The 27,573-nt window shown below is 34.5% G+C and overlaps 1 protein-coding gene across 5 annotated transcripts in view, besides 3 other annotated features; it reads right to left on the reverse strand.

The window, feature by feature from the left end:
• SOX6 (SRY-box transcription factor 6) overlaps positions 1 to 27,573 on the reverse strand; it is a 772,029-nt gene that overhangs the window by 416,552 nt on the left and 327,904 nt on the right. Inside the window, exon 1 of one of the 5 annotated variants that reach the window (NM_001145811.2) lies at positions 25,698 to 25,856. The exons of 2 other annotated variants lie outside the window; for them this stretch is intronic. The gene's annotated coding sequence lies outside the window, so the exon portion shown is untranslated. Of the gene's footprint in view, positions 1 to 19,658; positions 19,864 to 25,697; positions 25,857 to 27,573 lie in introns of those variants that run through there. 2 more of the 5 variants (NM_001145819.2, NM_017508.3) reach the window with 2 other exon arrangements.
• Positions 18,723 to 21,491: an enhancer, noted in NCBI's record as "VISTA enhancer hs1301". NCBI's record gives its function as "enhancer in: forebrain[4/4]" and the evidence as "EXISTENCE:transgenic organism evidence [ECO:0001131][PMID:17130149]".
• Positions 19,614 to 20,199: an enhancer, noted in NCBI's record as "OCT4-NANOG hESC enhancer chr11:16424160-16424745 (GRCh37/hg19 assembly coordinates)". NCBI's record gives its function as "activates a minimal SCP1, AML or CMV promoter by ChIP-STARR-seq in naive and primed H9 embryonic stem cells {active_cell/tissue: H9 hESC(naive and primed)}" and the evidence as "EXISTENCE:reporter gene assay evidence [ECO:0000049][PMID:30033119]".
• Positions 20,200 to 20,784: an enhancer, noted in NCBI's record as "OCT4-NANOG hESC enhancer chr11:16424746-16425330 (GRCh37/hg19 assembly coordinates)". NCBI's record gives its function as "activates a minimal SCP1, AML or CMV promoter by ChIP-STARR-seq in naive H9 embryonic stem cells {active_cell/tissue: H9 hESC(naive)}" and the evidence as "EXISTENCE:reporter gene assay evidence [ECO:0000049][PMID:30033119]".

Consider the following 27,573-nt stretch of genomic DNA (forward strand, 5'->3'; position numbering starts at 1 on the left):
CTGTTTTCCTGAGAAATGTAGCTATACAATGGTGTATTAGCTTCTGTGTAAGTATCTTTTGATATAGGAAATTTAGCAAAGAATGCACTCACGATTCCATGAGTCATGAAATAGAGACTTCTGTAACAATAATAAGAATTGCTCTTTCCTTCATAAAATGTTTAAAGTTCATTCTTTTAGGATTAATTCAGCATAAATATTGAGTTCCTTAGACTCTTCCACACTTATGTCACTACATTGCTCCATAGATTCCTTATACAGCAACATCCCTATAACAGAGCAATAAGAAGAAAGAGAAAGGCAGCAAAATCCAAAACAGATGTCTCAAGGAAATACATTAAAGCTTATTTAGTTTTCTTAAAGGAGAATTCCTCAGCTCAGAATCTATTTACTCTTACTTAAGCATAACTGTAGCATAATTTTAATTATATGAGGAGCACACCTAGGTTCAAATCCTGCTTCCACCACTTACCAATAATATAATCTTGGGCAAGTTGCTCAACTTCTCTGAGTCCAGGTATCTTTATCTGTACAATAGTTCAACTTGCTGGAGTGTTGCAGGAATAAGCCCAATAGATACATGTAATGTTCTTAGCACAGTGCCTAGCATATACTAAGTGCTCAATAAATGGATCTTTAATACCCTTAAAATATGAACTAATAACAATTCAAGGAGTTATTTTGAGAATTAAATGGCATCACATGTAAAAGCACCTACATTAGTGCTGTACAACAAAAGAGAAGCCTATAAAATGTTAGTTTTCCCTCTTTTCTTATCTAATTTAACAGCCCATAGCCAAATAGAAGTAGCAGCTAATAAAAGAGTATGGGAGGAGGACTGATATTGCTAAAGGCAAAAACACTAATTACAGAGAAATGACAACTTCAAGTCTGAAAAAGGCAAAGATAGGAAACCAAAAATGCAGACACAAGAACTCAAAAAAACCCCAGCAATTTGGAGACCACTCAATGTAGAGATAAATAGCCTTAACAGACACTCAACTCAGGGAACAGCTCAGGAATCAGATGTTTGTAGTGATAGATGAGCCATTGAGAAACGTTGTTAAAAAAGTAAATTTAAAAATCAGAAGATAAAACTATGATATAACCTCACCCTCATATATATTATACCAAAATATTAACAGGAACTATCTCTGAAAATGAAATATAGGTTATTTTAATTATCTTCTTTAACCTTTCTATTTTTTCTAAACAAGAAACTTTAGGAATCAGAATATATAGTTAAAATGTAAAAATAATGTTGGCACTTAAGGAGGAAGTCTTTAGAAACCTAAGAAATACATAAATGTGCAATAATAGATTAACTCATTCTATACTGAGTTCCCTGTTCAAATCACCTCCATGACATCCTAGAAGAATAAAGGTATTAAAATAATATAACATAAGAGAAAAATTTGATTAGTTGTTGCACAATAAACTCACGTGAAAAAGAAAAAATGCTAAAAGTAGATTCATCTTAAAGATACTATTTTAAATAGCAGTCAGTATCAACACAAAGCTTATAACAAAAACCACATATGATTACCTCTGTCTTTGCTTGCAACAATTCTGACACACCCTCAATTTTAGAGTAAAAAAAAATGTTTAAACAACTCTAGGAAAACATAGAAATGAACTGATAAAATTGAGAAATTTCAAAAAGCATAGTCATAAGGGAAATGCACCTTTTTACATTCTAAAATAGAAATAAAAATGCTTTTGGCAAATTTAGCTATTACCATGTAATCACTGACATTGAACAACGGGAAAAAAAGAATGGCAGCATAGAAAGCAAATTAAATATCAGAAAAGAACATACTGCTTTTTATTTCTTTCTGACCTGTAGTATCTATCTCTCTTTGGAATTGTCCCACTGAAGACCATGTACAATTAATAGAGAAAATGCCAGAGAGCTATACAGCAGATCCTAGAGGACTTTTTCATCTGGAAAAAGGGCATCTTTCCAGAAATAGAAATCATTTTCCTGTTTCTTCATTAATCAGAGCTCCAATTTTAAAAGAGTGAAAAGCAGAATAAAAAGGCACAAAGTACTAACTAGGACATTGTAAACTCTCAATTACTTCAAGTACTGTTGTTATTATTATCAGAAGTAATAGTACAGGGCTAGTACAGATTTGAGATGAACTAAATGAAACAGTCACACAGTTAATCTGTGGCAGAATCATAACTAGAATTCAGATTATGTGCTTCCCTGATCCCAATTAATATTCAGTTCACCTTTTCTATAATTTCCCCCAAAAGTTGACATTTCCAGGTCTAATTGTCACTTTAGCTGACTCAGCTGTGACTATTTCATTTCTTTTCTTGGATTCTGATTGTCAGTGGGTTAAAAGCAACATATAACATTTTTAATATCAGAGGCATCTATATTTTATAATAAAAAGAGGGTAAGTTTAAATCATGCCTGTAAAATGTTTATTGAAGTGCATTTTATCCTTGGGAAATAAACAAAAATGCTCTTGAGGTATGCTTAATCTCAGTAGTGTCATTATTTTCATGTCTTATTTCCATCACTTAAAAGAAAAACTTTTCAGTAAACAGAAAAGAAAAAATTTTAAAAAATCTTTTCTTTATTATTATGTTGGGAGCATATTTTAATCCATTTTAAATTGGATACACCCAAGTCTTAGAAATGCAAACTCCTGTGATCACAAGAGACGCTAAGCTTTTCATGATGCTTAAAAGGAAAGAAGGGCATAATAAATATGTTTTTGGTTCTGATTCATATTTTGCTCTTTTGAATTAATTAATGCTGTGGAAATCCCAGGCAACTGCCACATCATTTGTGACTGAATTGAGTCCAAAGGAGAAAAATATGTAAAACATTATTTAATTAAAATTTTGCATTTTTTTTCTCTCACAGTTCCTTTCCCACTAGCTAATAGTCATTCAAACTAAGAGGATAGTTTCATGTTTGTTGCTGTTGAATTGCCTTGGGCCACATTAACATGTTCAGAGGTCTGTGGTATCTGGAGCCATATTGTTCTCTGGGGCCAGCCCCTTGAGTATGGCTCTCAAGCTCCCCCAGCCTTATTTCAAAGCTGTCTTTGGCAAAATGTAATGCTCATAGGGAGACTCTGCTTGTATTGGTATGCATATGGCCCTTGAGGAATATTAGCAGAGTTGTTGTTTTTTGTTGTCGTTCTTATACATGTGGTTTTGCATTTAGCTTGGAAAGTGGGATAATAATGAGAATTGAAGGAGAAATCTATTCAACTTCAATAATTTTACCTTAATGCAGGAAACACAAAACAAAGAAAAGTTTACTTTCCTGATTCTAAGTTGAGAATATCACATTGGAAAAACCTTTTTTGCGGGGGGCAGGTGGGGGGTGAAGTAACTGAGTCATGGCCCTGAAACATAAAATCTAATCATGTCAATATCCTACTTAAAACCCTTCATTATTTCCCCATAACCTACAAGATACAGATTCCTGCATATAGATACAACACTCATTAATAAGCTGATTCCACATTATCTTTCTATTCCTATTTCCTGACACATATACACACACTTAGCAACATAAGACCTGATCTTCTCTAACTGTTCTCTGTTGAATGTTCTCTAAATCATCTTCCCTGATATCTGTTCTTAGAGCTTGCAAGCTTCTTTTCTATTTATGGCCCTCATAAATACTGTTCCCTCTTCTGTCTCCTCTTCACCAAACTATATCCTACTTATAATTTATGTCTCAGCTTTAATACCACTAATGTATAGTCACCATCCTTGATCCCAAACCGAATTAGGTCTCCCTTTTCCTTCATAGTATTTATTATCCTACAATTAAATATTTATTTAATGCCTTCCTCTTATTTGGAGTGTAAACTAGAGAAAGGTACGACATACATTTTAGTTCACCACTGTATTCCTGGCCCATATATACTTGGTACTCAATGGATTTAGGAGATTCTCTCATTATCCAAATATTCATTATGTGAGTCACTAAAATTATACAAAAGGTAAAAGGCATTCATTAATAAACTTACCATTTGTAAAATTAGTCTTCACGTAAACATCCCTCACAGATTAACTTAACATGTATCTCACACATGTGGGTTAATGTCCTCGTATCTTTGATCATCATTGCTCAGTGGTTTCAAACTTGTCAGCACATTGAAGTCACATGGAGACCTGTAAAAACTATTGATGCCTGGGTCCCACTTCAAAAGACTGATTTAACTGATTGAAGTGTAACCTAAGCAAAAGAATACTTTTTAAAATGCCATATACCTGTAATTTTTTTTTCAGTCAAGTTTGAGCATCAGGCTAGTCAATTACCAGATATTGCATTGTGGCATTGAAACCACTATTCAAAATAAAAATGTAAGGTGACTGCAAAGCAAAATCACAAATCTTGCAAAAGATGCAAGATTTCATGAAGCAAAGAAATATAGTGTCAGTGAACAGCTCAAACCATTGAAAAATCAACAATTTACAGTTAGAATAAGATAAAAGCTGAAGAACCAGATAGTGGCAAGCATGATAGTCAATATGGTAGATTATTCATAAAAGAATTATTTGAATATAAAAAGATTAAGCAAAGTCCTTAGAAAATTTTCTTTACAAAAATGGCCTTTGTTATGACAGATGGTACTAGAGTGTGAAAATTGATTTTGCTTTCATAATATTTGACCTGAAAAATTACTCTTAAAAAATGATCACTCTTCTAAGAATTAATGCACAGTTAGAATTATAAATGAATGCTGCCAATATATAAACTTATTTTTACTAATTTTAATTTTAATTTGTAAAAGTTGACTCAAAATGAAATCATTTTTCCCATTGTTTACTATGCAATTTTGATCCCCACCTACTTAATATATTAAAATACAAAAGAAATCATCCTTGTATCACATGACTTTGGCAAAGATACAATCCTACTTTTTACCTCTTATATTATTATACTATTTGCTTTCTTGTCTTGCCTCATTCTAATGGTTGGACCTTAAATACAATGTCAAGTAGGATGAATGAGCATGGACAGTATCTTGTTTCCTATCTTGGGAAGAAAGCATTCACTATTTCACCATCAAATATGATGTTAGTTGTAGGTTTTTCCTAGCCATCCTTTTCAGATAAAAATAGTTTTATTATATTCCTAGATTGCTGGGAGTTTTTTAATTATTAATGGGTGTGGTCAACTGTTTTTTCTGCATCTATTGAAATGATCATATGATTTCTCATTTACTCTGTTAATACAGTGACATTTTCCAAATGTTAAACCAATCTTGTATTTCTGGACTAAACCCTACTTGGTCGTGATATTTCATCCTTTTCCTACATTGCTGGATTTGCTATTGTTTTGTTAAAGATTTTTGCATCTATGACCATGAAGGATATTGGTCTATAATTTTTCTTTCTTATAATTTTTTCAGGTTTGGTGTTAGGGTTATGCTGGCCTCATAAAATGAGGTAGAAATTGTTCTATTTTTTGAAAGAGTTTATGTAAGAGTGATGTTATTTCTTAAATATTTGATAGAATCCACAAGTGAAATCATTTGGGCTTGGAGTTTCCTTTATAGAAATTTTTATTTTCTTAATGAACAAATTCAGTTTCTTATCTTGTGTCAGTTTTAGTAAGTTTTTTTCTAAGAAATTTGTTTGTTTCATCTTAGTTGTATAACTTTTTGGCATACAGATATTCACAATATTTTCTTATTGTCTGTTTAATACCTGTAAGATTTATAGTGATAATTCCTCTTTCATTCCTGATATTGGTAAGTTGTGTTTCTTTTTTTCTTGGTCTTTACAAAAGAAAAACAATTTTTGCCTGTACATTTTTCTTGTTTCCAGCAATTTGACTATGAGGTGCCTAGATGTACTTTTCTTTGCATTTATCTTGCTTGGAGTTTGCTGAACTTCTTACGACTGTACATTTATATCTTTTGCCAAATTTGGGAAATTGATGGCATTATTTCTTCAATTTTTTTCCCTGCCCCAACATCATTCTCTTTTATTTTCTGGGACTCATGTATGTTAGACCTTTTAATATTGTCATATATCCCTAATGCTATATTCATCTTCTTTTCTTTTCCAATTTTTTCTCTGTTGTTTTGTGGTTTTTTGTTTTTGTTTTTAAGAGACAGGGTCTCACTCTGACAACCAGGCAAGAGTGCAGTGGCACCATCTTAGTTCACTGCAGACTTGAACTCCTGGACTCAAGTGATCCTCCTACCTCAGCCTCTCAAGTAGCTAGGACTATAGGTTCGTGTCACCACCCTCAGCTAGTTTTATTATTTTGTAGAGACAGGGTCTTGCTACATTGCCCAGGTTGGTCTCAAACTTACTAGTCTCAAGCAGTCCTCCTGCCTAAGCCTCCCAAAGGAGAGGTGACATTGTAGGCTTGAGCCACCATGCCTGGCCTCTCTGTTCTTTAAATTGTATAATTCTATTGATCTATCTTCAGTTTCACTGTCATCTCTATTCTGCTGATTGTCCTCTCAAGTGATTTTCTTATTTCAGATATCGTTTTTTTAAGTTCCCTTTGGCTCTTTTTAATAATTTATCTCTCTCTACTGAGATGTCTTATTTTTTTTTCAAATTTTCCTGGTTCTTCATATGTTGAGCAATTTTGGATTATATCTTAGACATTGTGACCACTATGCTGTGGAGACTCTAGATTCATTTATAGTATTCTAAATAGTATTGCAGTTTAAGAAGCTTACGGCCGGGTGCGGTGGCTCACGCCTGTAATCCCAGCACTTTGGGAGGCCGAGGTGGGCGGATCACGAAGTCGGGGGATCGAGACCATCCCGGCTAACACGGTGAAACCCCGTCTCTACTAAAAATACAGAAAAAATTAGCCAGGCATGGTGGCAGGTGCCTGTAGTCCCAGCTGTTCGGGAGGCTGAGGCAGGAGAATGGCGTGAACCCAGGAGGTGGAGCTTGCAGTGAGCCGAGATGGCGCCACTGCAGTCTAGCCTGGGCGACAGGGCAAGACTCCGTCTTAAAAAAAAAAAAAAAAAAAAAAAAAAAGAAGCTTACTTGCTGAGACTCGAACTGCATATTTTGTCTTACCTGCAGTAAGCAGTAGCTCAAACATCTATTTAGCTCTTTTAACCTTACTTGGGCTACTTGAGATCAATCCTGTTCGTGGATGGTTTGGGGATCAGTCAGAGATTTGTAATATAGAAGTTGGGGTTCCCTTTCTGTGGCTTTTTCCTTCCCAAGATTACCTCCTCACCTCTTAGCAGTTGTGGTTGCCCAAAGTCTGTTGCCTTGATTCTCCAGGTCAGAAAAAAATGCTGCTTTTTTTGCAGCCGGCCCTCATACTAGAAAGCTTGAAAATGACAAACTTACCCAGTTTCTTTCCCTGCATTCTTCCAAAGCTCATTCTCCTCTCAAGATTTAGTCTGTTTCAAGTTGCTCTTCAGTGCCTTCAGATAGTTGTGTTTTGTCCAGAGTCCATAGTTGTTACCCTCACTCAATTTTCAGTGGATTAAGTGGCCCTTTCTCACTACCAACTACTCTCTGATAATAAAGATTTCTTGTATTGCCTTAAAGACATATTAAATGATACCATGCTTTTTCACTCCTTCATGCCTTTACACATTCTATTCCTTTGCCTCCACTGTCCTTTCCTTTGATCTGTTCAATGAAATGTTAGTAAGCCTTTAATGTTTGATCTCAACTGTCACCTACTCCATGAAAACCTTCCCTGACTGGAAACAACAGATGCTGGAGAGGTTGTGGAAAAATAGGAACGCTTTTACACTGTTGGTGGGAGTGTAAATTAGTTCAACCATTGTGGAAGAAAATGTGGCGATGCCTCAAGGATCTAGAACCAGAAATACCATTTGACACAGCAATCCCATTACTGGGCATATACCCAAAGGATTATAAATCATTCTACAATAAAGACACATGCACATGTATGTTTATTGTGGCACTATTCACAATAGCAAAGACTTGGAACCAACCCAAACGTCCATCAATGATACACTGGATTAAGAAAATGTGGCACATATACACCATGGAATACTATGCAGCCATAAAAAAGGATGAATTCATGTCCTTTGTAGGGACATGGATGAAGCTGGAAACCGTCATTCTCAGCAAACTATCACAAGATCAGAAAACTAAACACCACATGTTCTCACTCATAAGTGAGAGTTGAACAATAAGAACACATGGACATGGGGAGGGGAACATCACACACTGGGGAACATCACACACTGGCTAGGGGAGGGATAACATTATGAGAAATACCTAATGTAGGTGACAGGTTGATGGTTGCAGCAAACCACCATGGCACGTGTATACCTATGTAACAAAACTGTACCTTTTGCACATGTAACCCAGAACTTAAAGTATGTTAATAAAAAAAAGAAAACCTTCCCTGACTACTCATCTAGTTGTTCCCATCCCTGATTTACCCAAGCTCTTGTCACATTATTCATTAGTTTATGTGTCTGTCTTGCTGACAAATTTGTAAGATTCTTGCAAGAATCATATCTTTTTCATTATATCCTCTTTGTGCCTGGCATATAGTAGGTACAAATTGATGTTTAGTCAGTGAATGAATTAATTCATTATTAGTAAACATGTTCCTCCTCAGCCAGTCATTAAAGAACAATGGGTGAAAGAGGCACTAAGTCAGTCAACACCTTCAACAGCCTTCAGATTGGGAATTAAACATTCAGTAAGCAATACAAATAACATATAAGTGAAGATGAAAATGAGTATGTGAAAGATCATATTTCCTTATTCTTTCAATCCTACCCTCATGCAAATGATTTAAGAGAAGATGAAAGGAAGGGAGAGGACTAATTATTAAAGGTCCACTGAGTGCTAGGTGCCTTTATCTTTCTATTTAATTTTTATAACTCTACCAAGTAGAAATTTTCTATACTGATTTTATATATTTTAAAAGACACCAGGTTTTGCCATCCTCAATATTTAAATACCTAAAATTTCAGTTGAGAATATTTAAATTGGAAATAACTCAGATGTCTAGCAATACAACAATGGTACATATATAGTACAAAATATTATGTAGAAGGAAATGAGATAAAGCTATATAAAATGACATAGAGCTCCAAGCCATAATTTTAAATGAAAAAAGCATGTAAAGTATAAAGCAATATGTGTAAAAGGGGACACTGTTACCCTGACACGAAATAAAGCCGCATGTTTCTATGTAATGGTATATATTTGTATGTGATTGTACAAGAAGTCTGAAAGGATACAAAGAAAATTGAAAATAGTAGTTACACTTGGGAAAAGAAACAGTCTTTAGGGTGAGAAAACACATTAAGAAAAATTTTGCTCATCTTTTTTTCAATAATTATTAATTCAACAAATGCTTAATGATAGTCCACTATATGCCAGGCACTGTTCTACAATAAGAATGTATTTGTGTCTTACTTGTCTAAATTTAAAATATACTTAATGTTTTAAATGAAAGTATTACCTCAGTAAGAGAAACTAAAATAACAGAAAATCTCTAAAGTGCTTAAACATGTGATCTATTATCTTTTTAATGTGCCAGAAGATCAGAAGCTTTTTAAAGATAAGTAAATTAATTTATTACTACTTTTAAAACCTGTTCTTCCAAATGCAGATTAAAATTCTTATTTTCCAGATCTGGACCCTGTGGAGAAACAAAATGATTCCTCTTGTTTCCCTTTATAGTACAGTTCCACTCACACCAATTCTTATGAGGTTTGGGGATACATGGTGAAGTCTAAAGTTCTTACTTGGGGTAATTCCAGATATCAATTGGCTGTCTACAGATAAAAACACACCTTTTTTTATTATTCATATGCTTGAGCAACCCAGAAAGTACATCTGGCCTTCATGAACTTCATTATTGGCTTCACATAATAGAGGAATATATGTTTGTCCCTTAAGTTGACTCACTTCCCTGTCTTAGCCAAGTGACTCACAGAGGACATCTTCTCATAAACTTTAATATTGAAATAATTTGGAATAACTCAACATTTTAACCTGTCAAGTCCCTAATTCTTTCTAATGACAAGAACTTCATCATCACAACAAAAAGCCCATTCCATTTTTAGTCAACCATAACTGCTACAAAATTATTTTTTCTGCCTGCCCGTGACTCTGGTTCCCTGAGACTTTCAACTACTAACTTGAGTCTAGCGCTCCACAGTTTCACTCTTTTCCCTATGACAGCACTCTAGCCATCTCAGGACACCTACTGAATTCTCCTAAGATTTCTGTTTTTCAGAATAAACATGCTTCATTCTTTTAACCTAAGGGAAGCTTTCGCCAATGAGCCCAGGAAAGAGTAAGAAACTGAATTTCCCTGCAACTAGGCTATTTGTTCAGTTGGAAAAAAAGCAACAAGATTTGGCTTTTACCTTAATGAAGCAACAGCCTCCTTGGGTAATCATTAAAAATACTTCCTGGCATTTGTTTTCAAAAAAAATATCCCTCTACCTACCTGCACATATATATATAAGTGACATACACATTGCTCTTCACTTTCTCTTTTAAAATATCTTTTAAATGGGCACTAACCCATCTTCAGCTCATGTGACTTGGCTGTCTACCCAAGAAGCTACTATCTTCTGCCTTATCACATGGCTTCATTTGAGCCACAGCTCATTTACTAAAAATTATGCTATTTCATTCTTTTAAGCCCACACCTGTGTCTTCTTATTTTTGGAACCCTAAGATATCAGGCAAGGAATTAACCACTAAACTTCATCCAATAAACCTTAACCTATAATTAGGCTTAGTAATGTGTCTCTGCTAATTACATGCCTTTAACCATCTCAGTTCCATATGCTGGAAATTGTTAACTACTTTGCATCTTTAGAAAATTGGAAAAAATGAAACTTTCAAATCTAGACAACTTACGAAGGACATCCACCTAATTCATCCTGGTCCTTAGAAGAACCTAACTTACAATCTTAATCTTATTGGGAGTGCAGGGGTGAGGTGAATATTCATCTTATCTAGAAAGTTACACCTATGCATTTAAAAAGGAAAAACAAGGTTTCAGTCCTGGCTTTTTTCTGATTTCTGTCCCAGTTTTCCTAGCTGTGAAACAAAGATAATAATAGCTCTACTTTAACCATTTCACAGGATTACTATAAGGCCTCAAAGGAATCTACTGACTTTTCATCTTTCCAAATATTGTGAGATTGAAACTTTTAATTGTATTTTTACTATGCATATCATTGAAGAAGATGGAAAAAGGCACCATCAGAATTCCATAGTCATTTACTGCTCTAAAATAAAATGCAGATAAGTAAAAAAATGTATAAGATAATACATGAAAAAGTTCACTTGAAAGTATACCATGTAATAAAAACATAAGGTGCAATGTTATTAATAATGGCACTTTCTATGACCTCAAGTGAGACGTTCTATAAATCCCCTCCTTTTAACACCAAAACATTTTAATTAAATCCTCTTTTTTATCTCCTTTTCCCTCATCACCAACAAAAAAAAGTTCCAGCATAATCTTTTAGCCTTGGACTTAATTACAAATGCCAGCAAAGATTTACATAGAATACAATATAAGTATATTCTGACATTTCATAAAACCCAGCCATCCTCTCAGACTGACTTCATTTTCTTTTTCATGTTTTTATAACCTTTTCTATATCCTCCTGAAGAAAAACAAAAGCGTCTACCAATATTTTAGCAACTGGCAACACTATGAATATTTTAGTTATTGTTATCTACCTTAAAACCCTTCCATGTGGTCTCATGGCTTTTCTTTGCAAAAATACTAGGTATTTTTTTCTCAACTGTGTCCTAAATTTTTCCAGATTTTTAGAGCCCATTATAGCATTTCCACAAAAGATTATAGCCACTGGGGCTGCTCCATGAGTTTATAATTTGAAAGTTCAGTTCCTGTGTCCAGGAATACAGATTCCCCAAAGCGAGGACACAAAGTGACAGACTACACTGAAAAACAAGAAACAAAAATGAAGAAAAGCTGTTAAATGTTTTATAGCTAGATATTAAGAAACAAAAACATTTCTACCGCCATCCGCACCCCAATCTTAGAGCATCAAGTTGCATAATTTTCTCTAAACAGTGTATCCAAACCAACCAACAGACTCTATTTTTATGTACTTTGCTTTCTGTCAATCTCCCTTTTTTCACTTTCTCATTCACTACATTCCTCTTCCTGATAACAACAACAAATATTTACTGAATGCTTATAATGTGCAAGACCGTGTGTGCTACATGCTAAGTAAAACATCCAAGAACAAAATGGGCCAGTCCGGAGTGAAGGACAGACACTAAACAAAAACCACACAGATACATAATTTCAAATTGCAATATCTGCTATAAAATAAAGGATGAGAAACAAGATCCTTGCAGGGAGACAAGGTTTGCATTGGAAGGAGCAAGGAGGGTTTCTCTGAAGAAATGACATTTAAACAGGGACCTGAAGAATGAATAGGAATCACTCTGATGAAGAGTGGAAACAGGTGCATTCCAGGTGAGAACACAGCATTATGTGAATATCTTGGTGTAAAAAAGAATTTAGAGGGTCCAAGAAACTGTCACTAGACCAGTACAGCAGCTGGATCAGAAAGAATGATTTGGGAGAAAGACAAGAGCTGAGGCTGGCAATAGAGGGGTCAGATTCTGTGGGGCCAGGGTCTTTTATGCTAAGAATATTTTTGTTTGTTTAATTAAAGTATAATAGGAAGCTAAGAAAAAGTATTTCTTGGATCCCAAAGAATGGTAGGTGGGGTTTTCCCTACCATACAAGGAATATGGAATTTAAGCATATATTATTTTAAGAAGCATGGGAATGAAAGACACAAAATGCATGAGTCATTATCACTAGCATGACGACAGGGAGATATAAAACTAGAAAAGGCTTCAACTATATTGGTAATATTTTATTTCTTATAAACACAGGTATTTATACCATTCTTTAGACATTTTTATATGAGTGAAATTTTCATAATAAAAATTGTTTAAAGAATTAATGAATGCTAAGAATTCACTGATTTATTTCCCTTCCCTCTTCTTTCTCAGGCTCATATCAAATCTTTCAATTTTGAGAAATTCAAGCACATAGAATTTAGAGATCTCCCCTCTTATACGTTTTGTTTCCTGAGCCTTTATTCGCTAGACTTTTAGCATCAGATGTTAGGGGTTCTTTAATTAGCTTATCTTTTGTTTTAGCATACACTATAATCCTTACAGCTTTCCAACAAGTACAGAGTTAATATGAGGATTAAATGAGATTAAAAACAAAGCATTTAGCACACAGAGCTCAATAAATGTTAACTATTTTTATTATTTCACTTACAATAATCTACTCTTCCCAGTCTTAAATATAGGCCAGAACATTAGAACTAACAAAAGCTGAGTATATAGGACTAAATAGTGCTCTGGCATTTTGAATGCATGTATACTGTGTATTTTCACAAATACACACACACAAACACATGCACACATATAATGTAGATTTCCGACACTGAATTTTTAGTTTTTGAAAAAGATTTTTTTCTGTGCTCATTTAAGCATTAAATGACAAAATGCTAATTTGAATTGTTTTTATTCCCACTCAAGATGTAAACTGAAAGAAAATGTGCATTTGTTTGTGTGGAATTGCAATGTAAGGCAAGTTTAATATGTTTCCTAACTTCTCCTAAGTACAACAATAGTATATTGAAATGGCTTCTGATTACATAGAGTTTCAATAATATTCAGTAATGTATGGTCCACATCATGCTTGAAAGGTTCATTTTTGTAATATGAAGTAATTTATGCAAAATCTCAATCTTATAGAATTGAATATTGACATCAAAATTTCTTCTATAACAGGAGGAGCAGTCTTTAGTGGAAGAACATTATTAAAATCATATCTTTTCACTTAATTTTCTTTGTACAAATAGCACAGAGCCTCTCATTTCTCTTTCCTTGCAATTCACAAATACCATAAAAGCTGTCTTTAGAAAAGTCCTTATTAAACATCATGATGAAATAAGTACTGGGACCCCAAAAATATCAGAACCTATAACAGTTTTTGTTAACTAGACATCTGGAAAACACCTCACTGAATCTTTACGTGAATATTTTACTTTAAATTATATTTTAATACCTAAGAACCCAGAACTTCCTCTTGTGAAAAAAACAAGAGAGTTTGTCACTGAAGATTCTTCAGTTTATATTCCTTGAGGTTTGGACTTAGTTCGTTTTAGTAATCATTTCTCCATGCCCATTTCCTTGTTCTTAATCACAAATCTAATCATGTATTTTTATAAATATTCAAAATTAAATATATTTATCTACTTATGTAAATACTTTTTAGTTACTGTCTACCAATAGCATGTATAGGGATCTCATTAACAAACAGATTTAGAACTTTTTAGATTTGTTCCAGCAGCTTGTAAATTCATCTTAGACTTAATTGTTTAAATATATCAACATTCTAATCATTTTAAAAAGTGGACAGAAAAGATTAATTCCAAGTTTTCTTTTACTTACCAAGCTCTGCCATTCCACCCCGCTGCCTTAACAATATTATCAGCTCTTTGGATACTCATTCTTGCTAAGTAAAAGCATATTTCTTCTCTAGCTGGATTAATAATCAACTTTCTAGATAGTTCATTTGTAATTCTCTTCTGGTTAACCCTTAGCATTACAGCAGTCTGCCCAACTCATGCTAATCAATTTATGAAGGTAGAAGGAACAGGGGAAATTTAATCAGGCAGATATCAAAAGGAAAGTAAAAACGAGGTACAGTTTAAATTAGGCCCAAAAGAATAATCAGCCTTACACTAAAAGGTATAAATCTTTGTTAGATATTACAAAAGCATTCAGGTGCTAAAACACAAGATACAAGATACATGAAGAGAAAAACCTAACAGGCTTACAGCACACCAGTCCAGTGCATACCAGCCCATGTTTATTGCTTTCTTATATGCAGATAAACAAAACTCAGCTCTGAGCACAAGACATACATTTTTCTCTTAGTAAAAAGGTCTGACTTTCAAATTCCAAATGTCTCCTCTCTCAACAGTTGTAGTGACATGGTCCCTTATCCTACAATAAATGTCATCCCAGGCTTCATGGCAATTTTCTGCAAATGCAATCTATAAACACTTGCATCAGAATAATCTGGGATGCTTGCAAAAAATATAGACACCTGGGCCCCACTTGACAAGTCCTAACCACCCAAGTGATTCTTACATACCTTAAAAGTTAGAGAGCCACTGCTCTAGGATCAGCTTAAGCTTACCTAAGAAGGACTCCAACGCAATCCCTTAGAATTCAGAATAAAAGTATGTACCTTATTGCGAGTTTGACCTTGACCTTTTGTCTTCATTCCAATAGCTAAGATTCCACCTTGTTTTTCTGTAGCTGAGTGCAGTAGTCCATCTAAAACCATAACCATTCCCTGGCCTTTTAGCTAGTTATACATTTCATATTCCTGGATGTGAATAAGCAAGTCCTATTCATCGTACCGGGTGTGGGGCAGAGTAGTAAGGGTCTACTAGGATAGGAACAGTCTTGGGAGAAAGTTAACATAGCAGACACAATGTATTAGCTAAACGGTTGGACAATTGACATCAATAACTATACTCCATTATAGAAAAAAAACTAGAATCTGTTCTTTAACTCCACTTGTTGTCTATGGGTCTTATTGAGGTCTAGCTGCCTATGCCTCTAAGTACCACTTACCCTAGATTTTTTTTTCCTTTCTCTGCTTTATGAAACTCTTTAATATCCTGTTTTATGTATTTCTTCTATAAGGTCAAAAGGCAGACATGGCAGCCAGTGGTTTCACAAATTGCTACAAAAGGCCATGTTCATAACCAGAATTAAGGAAAAGATAAAGGCTATGGAAAAAAAAAAACCATAAAAACCTAAAGGAAAACCCTTGAGAACTGGAATGACTAGTAGACCAAGTAAAATAATATTTTTTTTAAATTGAAATTCTAATCATTTATTTTTATTTTCATAGAATCTTTTAAGAAAGGTCAACAAAAAGATGATGATTCAAAAGATGATTATGAGAGAAGGTTAAAGTGACTAAAACAAAGAAAAGACATTACTGAACTAGTAGAACTCAGAAAACAGATTTTTCTTGGCCTCTCTACCACTTCCTAGATTTACGATCTAGACTAAATCTCTTAACTTTTCTGTGCTTCAGTTCCTCATCTGTAAAATGAATATAATAAACCAGGTCTGTGTGTCTCATAGGGTTATTTTTATAATTAAACAGGATCATGTTTATTAAAAAGCTTTGAAACTATAAATACCATATAAACATAAGGGATTACTGTAGCTATATAAATTGCTACTGTATAAAAGATTATAATTAACATCCATAGATAACTTAAAGCAGTAATATTTTTATTGTTTTATATTATTTTTATTTTATTTTATTTTATTTTATTTTAAGAAACTGGGTCTCACTCTATTGACCAAGTTGGAGTGCAGTGGCACTATCATAGCTCATTTGCAACCTTGAACGCCTAAACTCAAGTGATCCTCTCACCTCAGCCTCCTGAGTACTACATTATTTTTAAAGGAAAATATAAGCCATATACAGTGAAAAAGTAAATGGAAGTTTGTAAAATGTCTCTCCTAAGGAAATTTTAAGAACATGACCAATATTAGTTGGGGGAAGACTAAGGCAAAATCATCCCAAAGTATAGATAAATAATCAGATTAACCTGAGTTTGCCCAGTTCATACTTAAGCCTTAAGGTTCTTAACAGAAGGACTTCCAGATGAGGAAAGGGATAAGGAGTGATACTGGTGACATTTCTCATCCAAAACCATCTACCTAAAGACAGAGTTCAGACTGACTTGAAGAAGTAAAAGCTTGGGGTATTTGTTACATGACATTTGACTTTATCCAACATTGCCCTAAGATTCAATCAAGTGCCATGATTTGATTTAACTGGCTAACATGTACATGTTCAAAGGGAGAAAATGGAAGTTTTAGCCAGTGCAAAAATTGGTTGATGAGAGTTGCCCACGTGAAGAAAAAAGGATTCTTAACTTAAAAAAAGACAGTTTCAGTTCCATTGAAACTGAAGAATGTCGAATTTTTAAAAAGTTCCATTTTTTAAAGTTTCAATAAACCATTCAATAAATATTGTTGAACATGTTTAATGGTCTAGGCATTGTTCAAGACACTGGCGAATATGAGGAACAAAAACAGTCAAAAATTACCTGCCATCATAGACCTTATATTCCAGTTGGAAAGAAAGCCAATACATTTAAAAGATATACAAATTATATAGTATGTTCAATATTGAAAAAGTTTCTGGAAACAAATAGAACAGCATTAGAGAGAACAGGAATGTTTAGCAGGTTGCAATTTTAAATAGGATGTTCAAGGTAGATCTCACTAAGAAGACATTTAAGCAAAAACTTGAAGGAGGTGATGAAGTTTGGTGAGATCCTTATACTACAATCATGGGAGTTATTTTTCACCCATGTTAACATTTTTACCACTTTAATAATAAACAAGATATTCTTATAAATATACTTTTGTACTATAATAGCGAAAAGCTATAAGTCACTGATGTAATGGTAAAACAAATTGTGGTACATCCATATGATGGTATATGATGTAGTGATTAAAAATGTTCTCCAAGACTATTAACATAAAAAAATCAATAAAGTGAGTTTTTAGATACAAAAATGTATACATAATATGATCCAATCTTGCAGAAAATTTTTTTCATTTGCTCAACAACTATTTTTTGAGTACCTTCTATGAGCCAGGCACTATTCTGGGCCCCAGAGAGAGGGCAGTAAACAAGCTAGACATGTTCTTTCTTCTCATACATACGTAGATAAAAGACTTGTATGAAATATACCAGAATATTACTAGGAAGTAAATTTCATTATGAAATAATAAGGTAAAATTATAAGTTATTTTATTTCCTCCTTTATGATTAAACATAGTCCCAAATTTCTAAATACTTTCTGAATGGTGCCAAAAACAAACCATGGCCTTTATATTGATCTAAACATTATAGTCCATATTTGTTTTGTGATATCTGTGTTTGCATAAAGCACAAATTTGCAGTCTTACAATATTCTGCCAAATGTGTATTGCATTTTTCAATTATATACCAATTTTTATGTCTCATAACACCTAATGAAATTGAATAACATTGGATCCCTTTCTACAAATACAAAAACTAGGAAAAAGAACAGTTAACTAACTTACTACACTAGAAATAGTGTTTAAATTGTAAATTATAACAACGCATATGAAAGTATCTCACACAGTGCCTGGACCAAGAAAGGTTTGCAGATTCTGGATCCTATGCTAGTACCTTCCCAGTTCTGCTGGAGTTTGTTGTTGTTGCTGCTGTTTGTTGTTTGTTTTTGACAGGGAAAAAAATCTCCATTTATTTAAAATGGAGCGTTAATAGTTACCAAAAAAAATCTTATGTGAATCCCAGACCCTACCACGACTACCAGGTGTTAGCTTTATTCCATCTCTCCTCAATCACTAAAATGACCAGTAAACAAGTTAGACATGTTTTTTTATAATGCTTTTCCAGTCTTCTTTTGATTTCAGTATTTATATTTAAACCATGTAGCAAATGGCAGTGGTCTACCTCTAATTAGTCAAGTTGTCTTGGGCAAGTCATTTCAACTTTCCAGTCTCGCTTTTTAAATTTTTCAAATATAAGATTTGGACTAGGAGAACTCAAAAGTCATTAAGCTCTAAAGTTTCATTATATTACTTTAAGTCTATGAGGTATCTATAATAAATCAAAGGAACACGGCTTCTCAAAAGAATAAAGGATACAGCAATAGGGTGGTTGGCTAGAACAAGAAAACAAAGACCAAGGATTAAAAGAGAATTTGAAAATCTCCCCAACCCCCTGGACCAAGTCCAGCTTCAGTCACATAAAGGTTGTTTGGGACTATAGAGAAGAATAAATATGAAGGTTTCTCAAATCATCAAGAGATGATGTTTTTGCTTAAAAAAGAAAAAGTACACTTGTTCCTATATACTCTCTAGTTCTTAAAGCATACATACACACATCACCACCAACAACAACCCTAAATGTTTTAATATTGATATGGAAGGAAAATACAAGTCACTCATTTTGCTGAAATAAAGTATTTTAAACCCAGAAAGGGTGATTTGGTTTTGAGGGAAAACAAAACAAAAACAAAACAAAAAAAACACTGTATTCACTCTTTTTCTATTGCCTCCTCTGTATACAAACCCACAGTAGCTCTTAAATTTGTGACATTTTCTTATGTACATGGAGAAAAATTTGTGTCACTATTGCAGCAACATCTAAACAGTTTCCTGTAAACTTTCAGTGATGGAACTCATAGAATTTATGATAAAATCCCGTAGAGTGGTGAAACAAATTTCTTTCATATTTATCATTCATTTTATTCAGTGTGCATTTGAAGGAAAACCTTTTAAGAACACCAATAACGTGAGAAAGCTAAAACAACTAAATTTATTGTTAAGTATCACATCATTGGTCCTTCTGGGAGTTCAGGAAGAAGGCTTAAATCACATTTCCTAACACATTAGAGAGCTTCCCAGAGATTTGATGGCCCACAGAAGCAAACCACCCAAAGCACACTGGAATCTCAGAGATGGTGACAAAGAAATATCGCTTTGTTTAATGAAAGCAGACTGAAGTTACCCTTTCATTTTTTTTAACAAAATACAAACTCTCTTACCCCATTTTTCTTCTTTCCTTCCTCCACCCACTCCTGTTTCACCTGACTAAACTGTAGGTATTTGTTCCATCACCTGACTTAGGGGCTGGCTAGAAATATTAGGAAAAAAAACAATCTACTATTGTTACATGAGACAACAACCTTTCATGTCCTTGAAGCTCACCATGACCTTTCATCTTTCCTATCCCCAATGGTCTCTCCTAACAACTAAAACTACACTCAGTTGGGCTGAATTCCAGATTGTCATAAAAAGAACCCTGTCCTTTCAAAACAAAACCAATTTTTACACCAAGGTGGGGGAGAAACACAAGTCCATTGTTCCCTCACAGATGGAAGTTGGAGTTACTAAGGCAACTGCTCTAATCCTCCTTTTTACCACCTTTTTCACATCACTGGCCTATCAAGTATGCTACCTTTTAACTCATAAGCTCAAAAGCTGGTAGTCTAACTGGCTGCCCTAATTAGCTACGATTTTCACACTACAGACAACATGATGAGCTAATCGAAATTTGCAAAATAATGACGTACCTCCAGCAAATATTCCTCCTCCTGAGGCCCAGTCTTAGAATAACAATAATGAGACCATTATTAGAGAAGGGCATTAAAATGCTGCACTGCTGCTAAACAGAGAACTTAATTGTTCTGGTCTTGTCCATTGAATCAACAACCTATTGTTGTGGACTTGAAAAATAAAGGACTGGAGAATGGGTGCCATGATGATTGGTCTGTGCGGCCATACCGGCACTCTGTAGAATTGTTTTCTTTTGAAACTCTTGATGGACTAGTAGTTTTGTTTAAAAGTAACATAAAAGGCGATTGTCTGGATAAAAAGTCCTATTTATTGAAATCCTTAGAAGCAGTTGCATGGATTTGTTCGTGACCCCTGAGATAAAAACATAGTGACCATAATAACACCATTTGTAGAGAGCCCTGTTACCACTGCCTACAGTAACATAAGATAAGAGACAGTCTTTTCTAACTACAGTAGGAAGGAAGGAAGTACTTCTGAGCAGAAAACAAGAATGATAAAAGGTCAAATACTGGATAAAGCTCATTAATCACTGAAAGGGAGACTTTAAAAAATAATGCTAATTTAAGAATTCTGTACAATTGCTAAAGATTCAAGCACATGTAAAAAGGCACACAGCTTGTTTTTTCCTTTCCCACTTTTGAACTTCTTTGGTTAAAAAAAAAAGAATTAAAATAAAATTATTATTAAATAACTAAAGCAAGATGTCTCAGGATAACCTGGAGAACAAGAAACCCAAAGGTTTCTAGATAATTATTCTTATGGTCATCCCCAGTCTATATTGAGAATAACAAAATACTGAAGTTAAAGGTTAACTAGTGTAGGATTCTTAGCTGTAGAAAAGCACTGTTTACACACTGTAAAAGTGTCTTCCATATGGGGCCACAGTACATGTTTTCTGTAAAGTCAAACCAAGATTTTAGTGTTGAATTGTGGGGAAGGGACGTACTTTTGCTGTTAGTGGGTATTTGGGGTGAGGGTCTGTTTGTTTTTTACCAAGTGAAATCTGCATTATATAAAAATGTATTAAATTGTAAATAAGACCTCTTGCTTCATTCAAACTGTGCTTTGCTTCATTTATCTTCATCTTGTTAGGCTAAATTAATTAACAATCTCACTGTTGCACACTTTCTCTTTTCATTACATCAAATAATGGCCGGTATATTAAGAAAGCCCTCACCACGGGAATTCTGCAACACTACTGCTAAGAAGAGTTTCTGTGTATCAATGTAACAATATTCATTTCATAAGCATTTATTAAATATACTTTTATTGTTAACAACCAATTAAGCACCTAAATTCTTAACATGTTATCAATAGAAAGCCATTTTTTAAAAAAGCAAAACTAAACTAAAAGTTGCAAGATACTTTAAAAAGGAAAAATAAATCACATTGTATGCCCACAACCAGGTTTCACCATCAACTTTACCTAAAATAAGAAGAAACACATGAAAATTTGACAGGTATGTTTTCAGAGATACAAGACAATATTGCATAAAAGGTTTAAAAGACACACCCCAAGCCGTTCTGCTCCTTGCTGTGGAATGTTTAATGTGATAAATGGGATGATTAGAATTTCATTGGTAAATCCCGTTATTTTAAATCTGTAAGAATGAAATGTTTTAAACTCTTTTGTAAGTTTTCTTTTCAACCTGAAACTCTGTGGCATCTAGAATTATGCAAATGGACAAAACACTAAAGCTCTTTTTAATCTTTTCCTTGATCAACCAGTGCTTCTTTCTCCAATCACAGCTTTGTGCGTGATATCTTTCTGCTAGCATTTCTTATTTAATTAAAACAGACACTGACAGAAGGACACGGATTAGTACTGTAATGATGCATTTACTTAGATTAATCGGAGGCTCCTTTTAGAGTAATGGCTTAAACAAAGAACAAAAGGAAATTGTTATGAAACAGCCTTTTATCCCAGGCAAAGGTCGCATTATGAGGTTTTTAATTTTGTCAGCTTCTGTTATACTCTGCCTTGCTAGTGGAACATGAGAAGTGCTTTTACCCCCAATAAAGCCAGTTATTATAAAAACAGCCATTAAAGCTGCAAATTAAAATGTCTGATTTTTAAAACAGGTTACTTAGCTTTCAGAATATCCTAATTAGCATGTTGTACATTGTGGTGAGGAAAAGAAGACTAAATGCTAATGACCTACCGCCAGGTGACCACACTGCTGTGCACAATAATAAGGACCTTTCCAAGTAATATGATGAATTAACCAAGTACAGGTCCCCCATCTAACACCCCTTCTCCGAATACAGCTTCAGATGAATGGAGGGACGTGACTGTTTGGATGTGTTCAGTAAGGCCCTACTTCTGTCCAGAACACTCTCAGCCAGCTACTTTTTATATAACCACTAAAAGGCAGAATTCTATTACAAAAGAGAGTAAATGAAATAGCAATACTATATACAGTCTGAAGTTAGAAAAGGCAACAGTCATTTGACTGCAAAGCACAATGAATTAAAGAACCATGCCCCAACAAAACCAACTCTTTGCCTCTTTTCATCCAACCTTCCCCATCCTATCCCTCTCCCCTCTGCCTCTTTAATAAGTTGAGCTTGCAGAGTATAAATGGAGTTAAGGTTTGAAAGCTCAGTCTTTGTTCATAGCACTGATTTTTACACCATGTTGTCTTTAACCAGCTCAAACGTAAATCGAGTTTCCTTTTTCTAAATGTTGTTTTTGCCTTCTGTTTACTGACTCCACCCACTGCTACTTCTCCTTAGTCAAAATTGCTCTCGACAAAGGGTATATTGTCCTTTGCATTTCCTACTGTATGAACTTACCTCAATTACTTGCCTACTTGTAGGTATTTTCTGCTCTATCTTTCTTTATGGACTAAATCGTTCTGTGCCCCATAAGGCTACTACTATACTTTAGGTTAATATATGGACTAGATAGAAAATATCTCTAGAATTCCGCACAGAGGAAACATAATCCACTTTAAGTCTCACACAAATACTCCTGAGTAGCTTGCTCTAGAAATTTCTTGAAACCAACAGGAAATATTGTCATTGGAACAAGAAATCACTGAGGATCATCAGTGCCATCTGTCCTGTGGACTTGTTTGAAAAGGAGGATTATTTGAGGTTGTATCAACTATATACAGCCACAAGAATGCTACAGGTTTAACCACCCCAAAACTTAGTGGCTTAAAACAATAAGCATGTATTTAGCTTATGCATCTGTAGGTCAGCTGGACATTTCTCTGGTTTTAGTTGAGTTCACTAACATATCTTGTGGTTGGCCTTGGCTGGGACAACTGGTATAATTCAACTCTGCTCCATATGTCTCATCCTCCAACAGGCTAGTCCAGGATTGTTCTTCTATAGTGACAGAAAACAGCAAGAGTGTGAACAGAAATGTACAAGTACTTTTACAAGCCTCTACCTGTGTCACATAAGCTAACATCCCATTGGCCAACGTAAGCTAAATGACTGATCTCAGAGTCTAGTCGTGAGGACAAATGCCCTATCAATATTGGAAGGGCACTGAAAAGTTTTATGGCAAAGGTCATAAATAGAAGGAAGGATAAAGAAGAACTGGGTTCTTTAAAGTATTCAGTCTTAGCAAAGAGGTCAAGGTCATTTGATGACTCCCAAAGTTCATCAGCAGAAGCTTCTGTTTTGTTCCATTTTAACTAATGCTGTCTACATAGCCACTCAAAATTGATGTCATTTTATTTTAATAAGTGAGAAAAATTCTTAAAAAGATAATTAACAACCCCATCACACCTTATCTCCATTGACTTCCAATTTAAAAATTACAGCTATTAAGCTGATCCTAAAATGTGACCTATACAAGTTCACATTTTTGTGTACTGAATTATTGTGAATCAGTTATACCTTAATAAGGTTTCAAAACTACAAACTTTTTTGTCTCAGATGCTTCCCTTCCACTGACAGAAGCAGCTAAGTTTGAGGAGCTATCTAATGGCTACTAGACTCAGAATTTTGTTCATTACTATATCTTAGAAAGTACAGACAGTTTTATTCCACAGAATACCAGAAAACAGTATTTCACACCCCTTTACAACAGCAGATATAGCCACAATAGCAGTGTTTAAAACTAAAAATTCTTTTGAAGTCCAAGCCCTATCACATCTCTATGCTTCCTCCAAGAGCTTTGTCTGCGAAAAACATACAAAGAAAATTGGTCTGAGGACACTACATGAGAAAGTGCCCTAGAATAAGATTATTAAGAAGCTAATTTTAAGCTTTGCAAATATTCTGTTTCTACAAAAGATGAATGAGGAAAGTATCCACGATGATTGCATCAGTTTCCCAAAGTTAATCTAACAGAGTCCCTACATGTAGCTTTAGGGATATATCTCAAGCCAGTTACCAGTCTTTCCACTCACAGACACACATCCAGCAGGAATAGGAGTGATTACCGGGCAGAATTCCTAACCCTTGTGGCAAGGGAAATACTATCCTATAGCACCACTCAACAATTATCCCTCTGAGCAATTAAAATAACCAGTGAAGTGGGTCTCCAAAAGGAGCCTTCACCCATTCCTTCATTTGAGCCAGCCCTGACAATGAGGTTGCCAAAGCTAGCACTAACACCCGAGGAACAAGAAATAAAGGCCAGCAAAGCTCAATCTTGCATCCAAAGATATTAAAAAGGAAACTAAATGACATGGAGAAGACATTCTTAAGAATTACCTAACTAATACAGAAAGGAAAAAAATAAATAACATAATAAAATCATTTTTATTCCCTTTTCATTTTTTCCACATTCCTTTACAACTTATTTTAATAATAATTTTGTTTTAAAGTAAAGCCCTGAGTGATGGTTTGCCTTTTATAAATAAGAATAACAGGAAAGAATGCAATTTGTCCTATTTTTCTAGTGTTTTGATCAACCAACTCCTCTCACCTGGTCTTTAGCAAGTATCAATTATTACAGCAGTGATTCAAGGTCATGGAAAAGAGCAAAGCTAATAGGTCCATAGAAAAATCAAGGCTTGTGCCCTCGTTAATACTGCATTCTAAACAAACACTAAGTCCATGTTCAGAGAGCTGTACTAACTCTTCTGAAAGGAAGCAGCTTACGTTCAACTCAAAATTTCTTTTAAAACTCTCTTTGCTTTGACAGAGAGGCAAAGAGAAACAAAAGTGCTTGCATATCAGAAAAGGAAAGGACCATAAAGAACAAAGACGGAAAAGGAAAGCTCGAACTCCTTAAGAACATTGTCTCTACATATCCATTCACCTGATTCTATCATTTCACACATATATATTTCACATGCATACATATATCTCATCTGGTACATAGTATGTGCTTAAAAGCTGTGTTGATTAAAATTATCATACAATTAGAAGAACAGACAAGGACAGAAAAAAGTAAGCATACTCTCTTAAATTACATCACCAGTCACATCAGATATTTAGGAAGCCCCAAGTTAGGAGTTTCTAACATTTGTTTTAAACTATTTTTTACAGGATGAAATGAGATGAAACATGGGTCAAATTACATGTGAAGCCACACCTACCTCCGCAGATTTTTTTTTTTTTTCCAGAGTGATAGGGTCTCACTATGTTGCACAGGCTGGCCTTGAACTCCTGTGCTCAAGGAGTCTTCCTGCCTCAGGCTCCCTAGCAGTTGAGACTACAGGCACACACCACCTCCCAGCCTGATGTTTTATAGAGATAAAAATATGACTAAAACTAACCCCAAGGAAAGACTCACAAGAAGAATGATGTCATAAATGGCTCAATGTAACCAATGGGGTAATTGTGGGACCTGAAGGAGAAGTTCTACCCTTTTGCCTTTATAAAGGACATGTGGTACATAAACAGACTAAAGTATTTAGACCTCAGATCACCTTCAACTTTGGTGCAAGAGGCTTTTTCTCTGTTCATTTAACACCTTCTCTGATGATCAATATCTTCCCTAACCAATGCCATCAACCTGCTATCTTCTGAATTCCAATGGATTAAACCATAGGCCTGCCAAAAAGTAGTGAAAGATAATCACCAAAATAATTTCATTGCTATGACAGAGCCTTATGGCGACAACCTCCATTCTTTACCAACATTTTCTCTATCCCTAACTTTCCTCTTGCAGTCCCCTAACCCCCCTCCAAAAAAAAAAAAAACAGGCAGAGGATTGGGGGAAAACAGCTATGTTGGGTTTATGTTTCAAAATTCTTTAAAGATAAAAATATTTTTCCTCCCAGTTAACAGCTTTAACATAAATTGATTGCAAATGCCTCTAGGAGAGGTAATATCATGAGTTCCTTCCACACTAAGATATATATGACTCTGAATGCATTTTATAAGGCTAGAATATCTATCCTTGATTCCAAAATAAAATAGACACACTAGAAGAAGAGAAAATCACTGACTAATCATGAACACAGTTACAAATATCCTTTAAATTTTAACTAATTCTATAGTGTAAATGAAAATCCACTGAGAACAAATAAGTTTTGTCACGGTTATCCTAAATGGTTCAGAAAATCTACCAATAATACCATATTCACAGATTAAAGAAGAATAACTCTATAAGCATCCCAACAGATGCAATGGATAGAAGACAAAACCTACCAAAAACTATATAGTTATTGGTAAAATTTAGGATGCATTGCCATCACAGACAGAAACAATGTCTTTCCTCGGTTTAAAAAAAAAAGCTTCAGGCTAATTTTCAATAGAATAACTCAAGGCCAAGAGGAAGACTATCTAAAATAAGGCCCAAATATATAGAAAACCAAAAACCACATGTTCTCCCTTATATGTGGAATCTAAAACAACTGAACTCAATAGAAGCGGAGAGCAGTAGGTGGTTACCAGAGGTTGGGTGGGGATGGGGAGGAATAGGGAGATGTTGGTTAAAGGGTACAAAGTTGCAATTAGGCAGGAGGAACACATGGTAAGTATTTAAGGTGATGGATATGTTAGTTTGATTCTACCATTCCACATGTATACATTTCACATGCATACATATATCATATCCCAGTGTATCCCATAAATACATATAATTATAATTTACCCAAAAACTAAATAAAGAAATTTTAAAAGTTTCTAAATCTTAAATGAGTTTTTAAAAATAAAATAATAAAATAAAGTAATGTCCAAATAGCAGTTCTGACCCAAAAGACATAAGACACACCAGGGCTTCCCTAAGTGTTTGTGTAGGTCATGACAGGCTCTTTGTGGTGGGAAATATTTATTATTTAACATTAAGTAAGAAACAAAGAACACGCAATGACATCTATGATCTAATTGCAGTTACATTAAATTCGTTTTTAAAAGATATGAGCAAGGGGCCAGGCATGATGGCTCACGCCTATAACACCAGCACTTTGGGAGACCAAGGTGGGAAGATTGCTTGAGCCCAGGAGTTCGACACTAGCCTGTGTAATG

The sequence above is a fragment of the Homo sapiens genome, chromosome 11 (genome assembly GCF_000001405.40).
Source record: "Homo sapiens chromosome 11, GRCh38.p14 Primary Assembly".
NCBI lineage: Eukaryota > Metazoa > Chordata > Mammalia > Primates > Hominidae > Homo > Homo sapiens.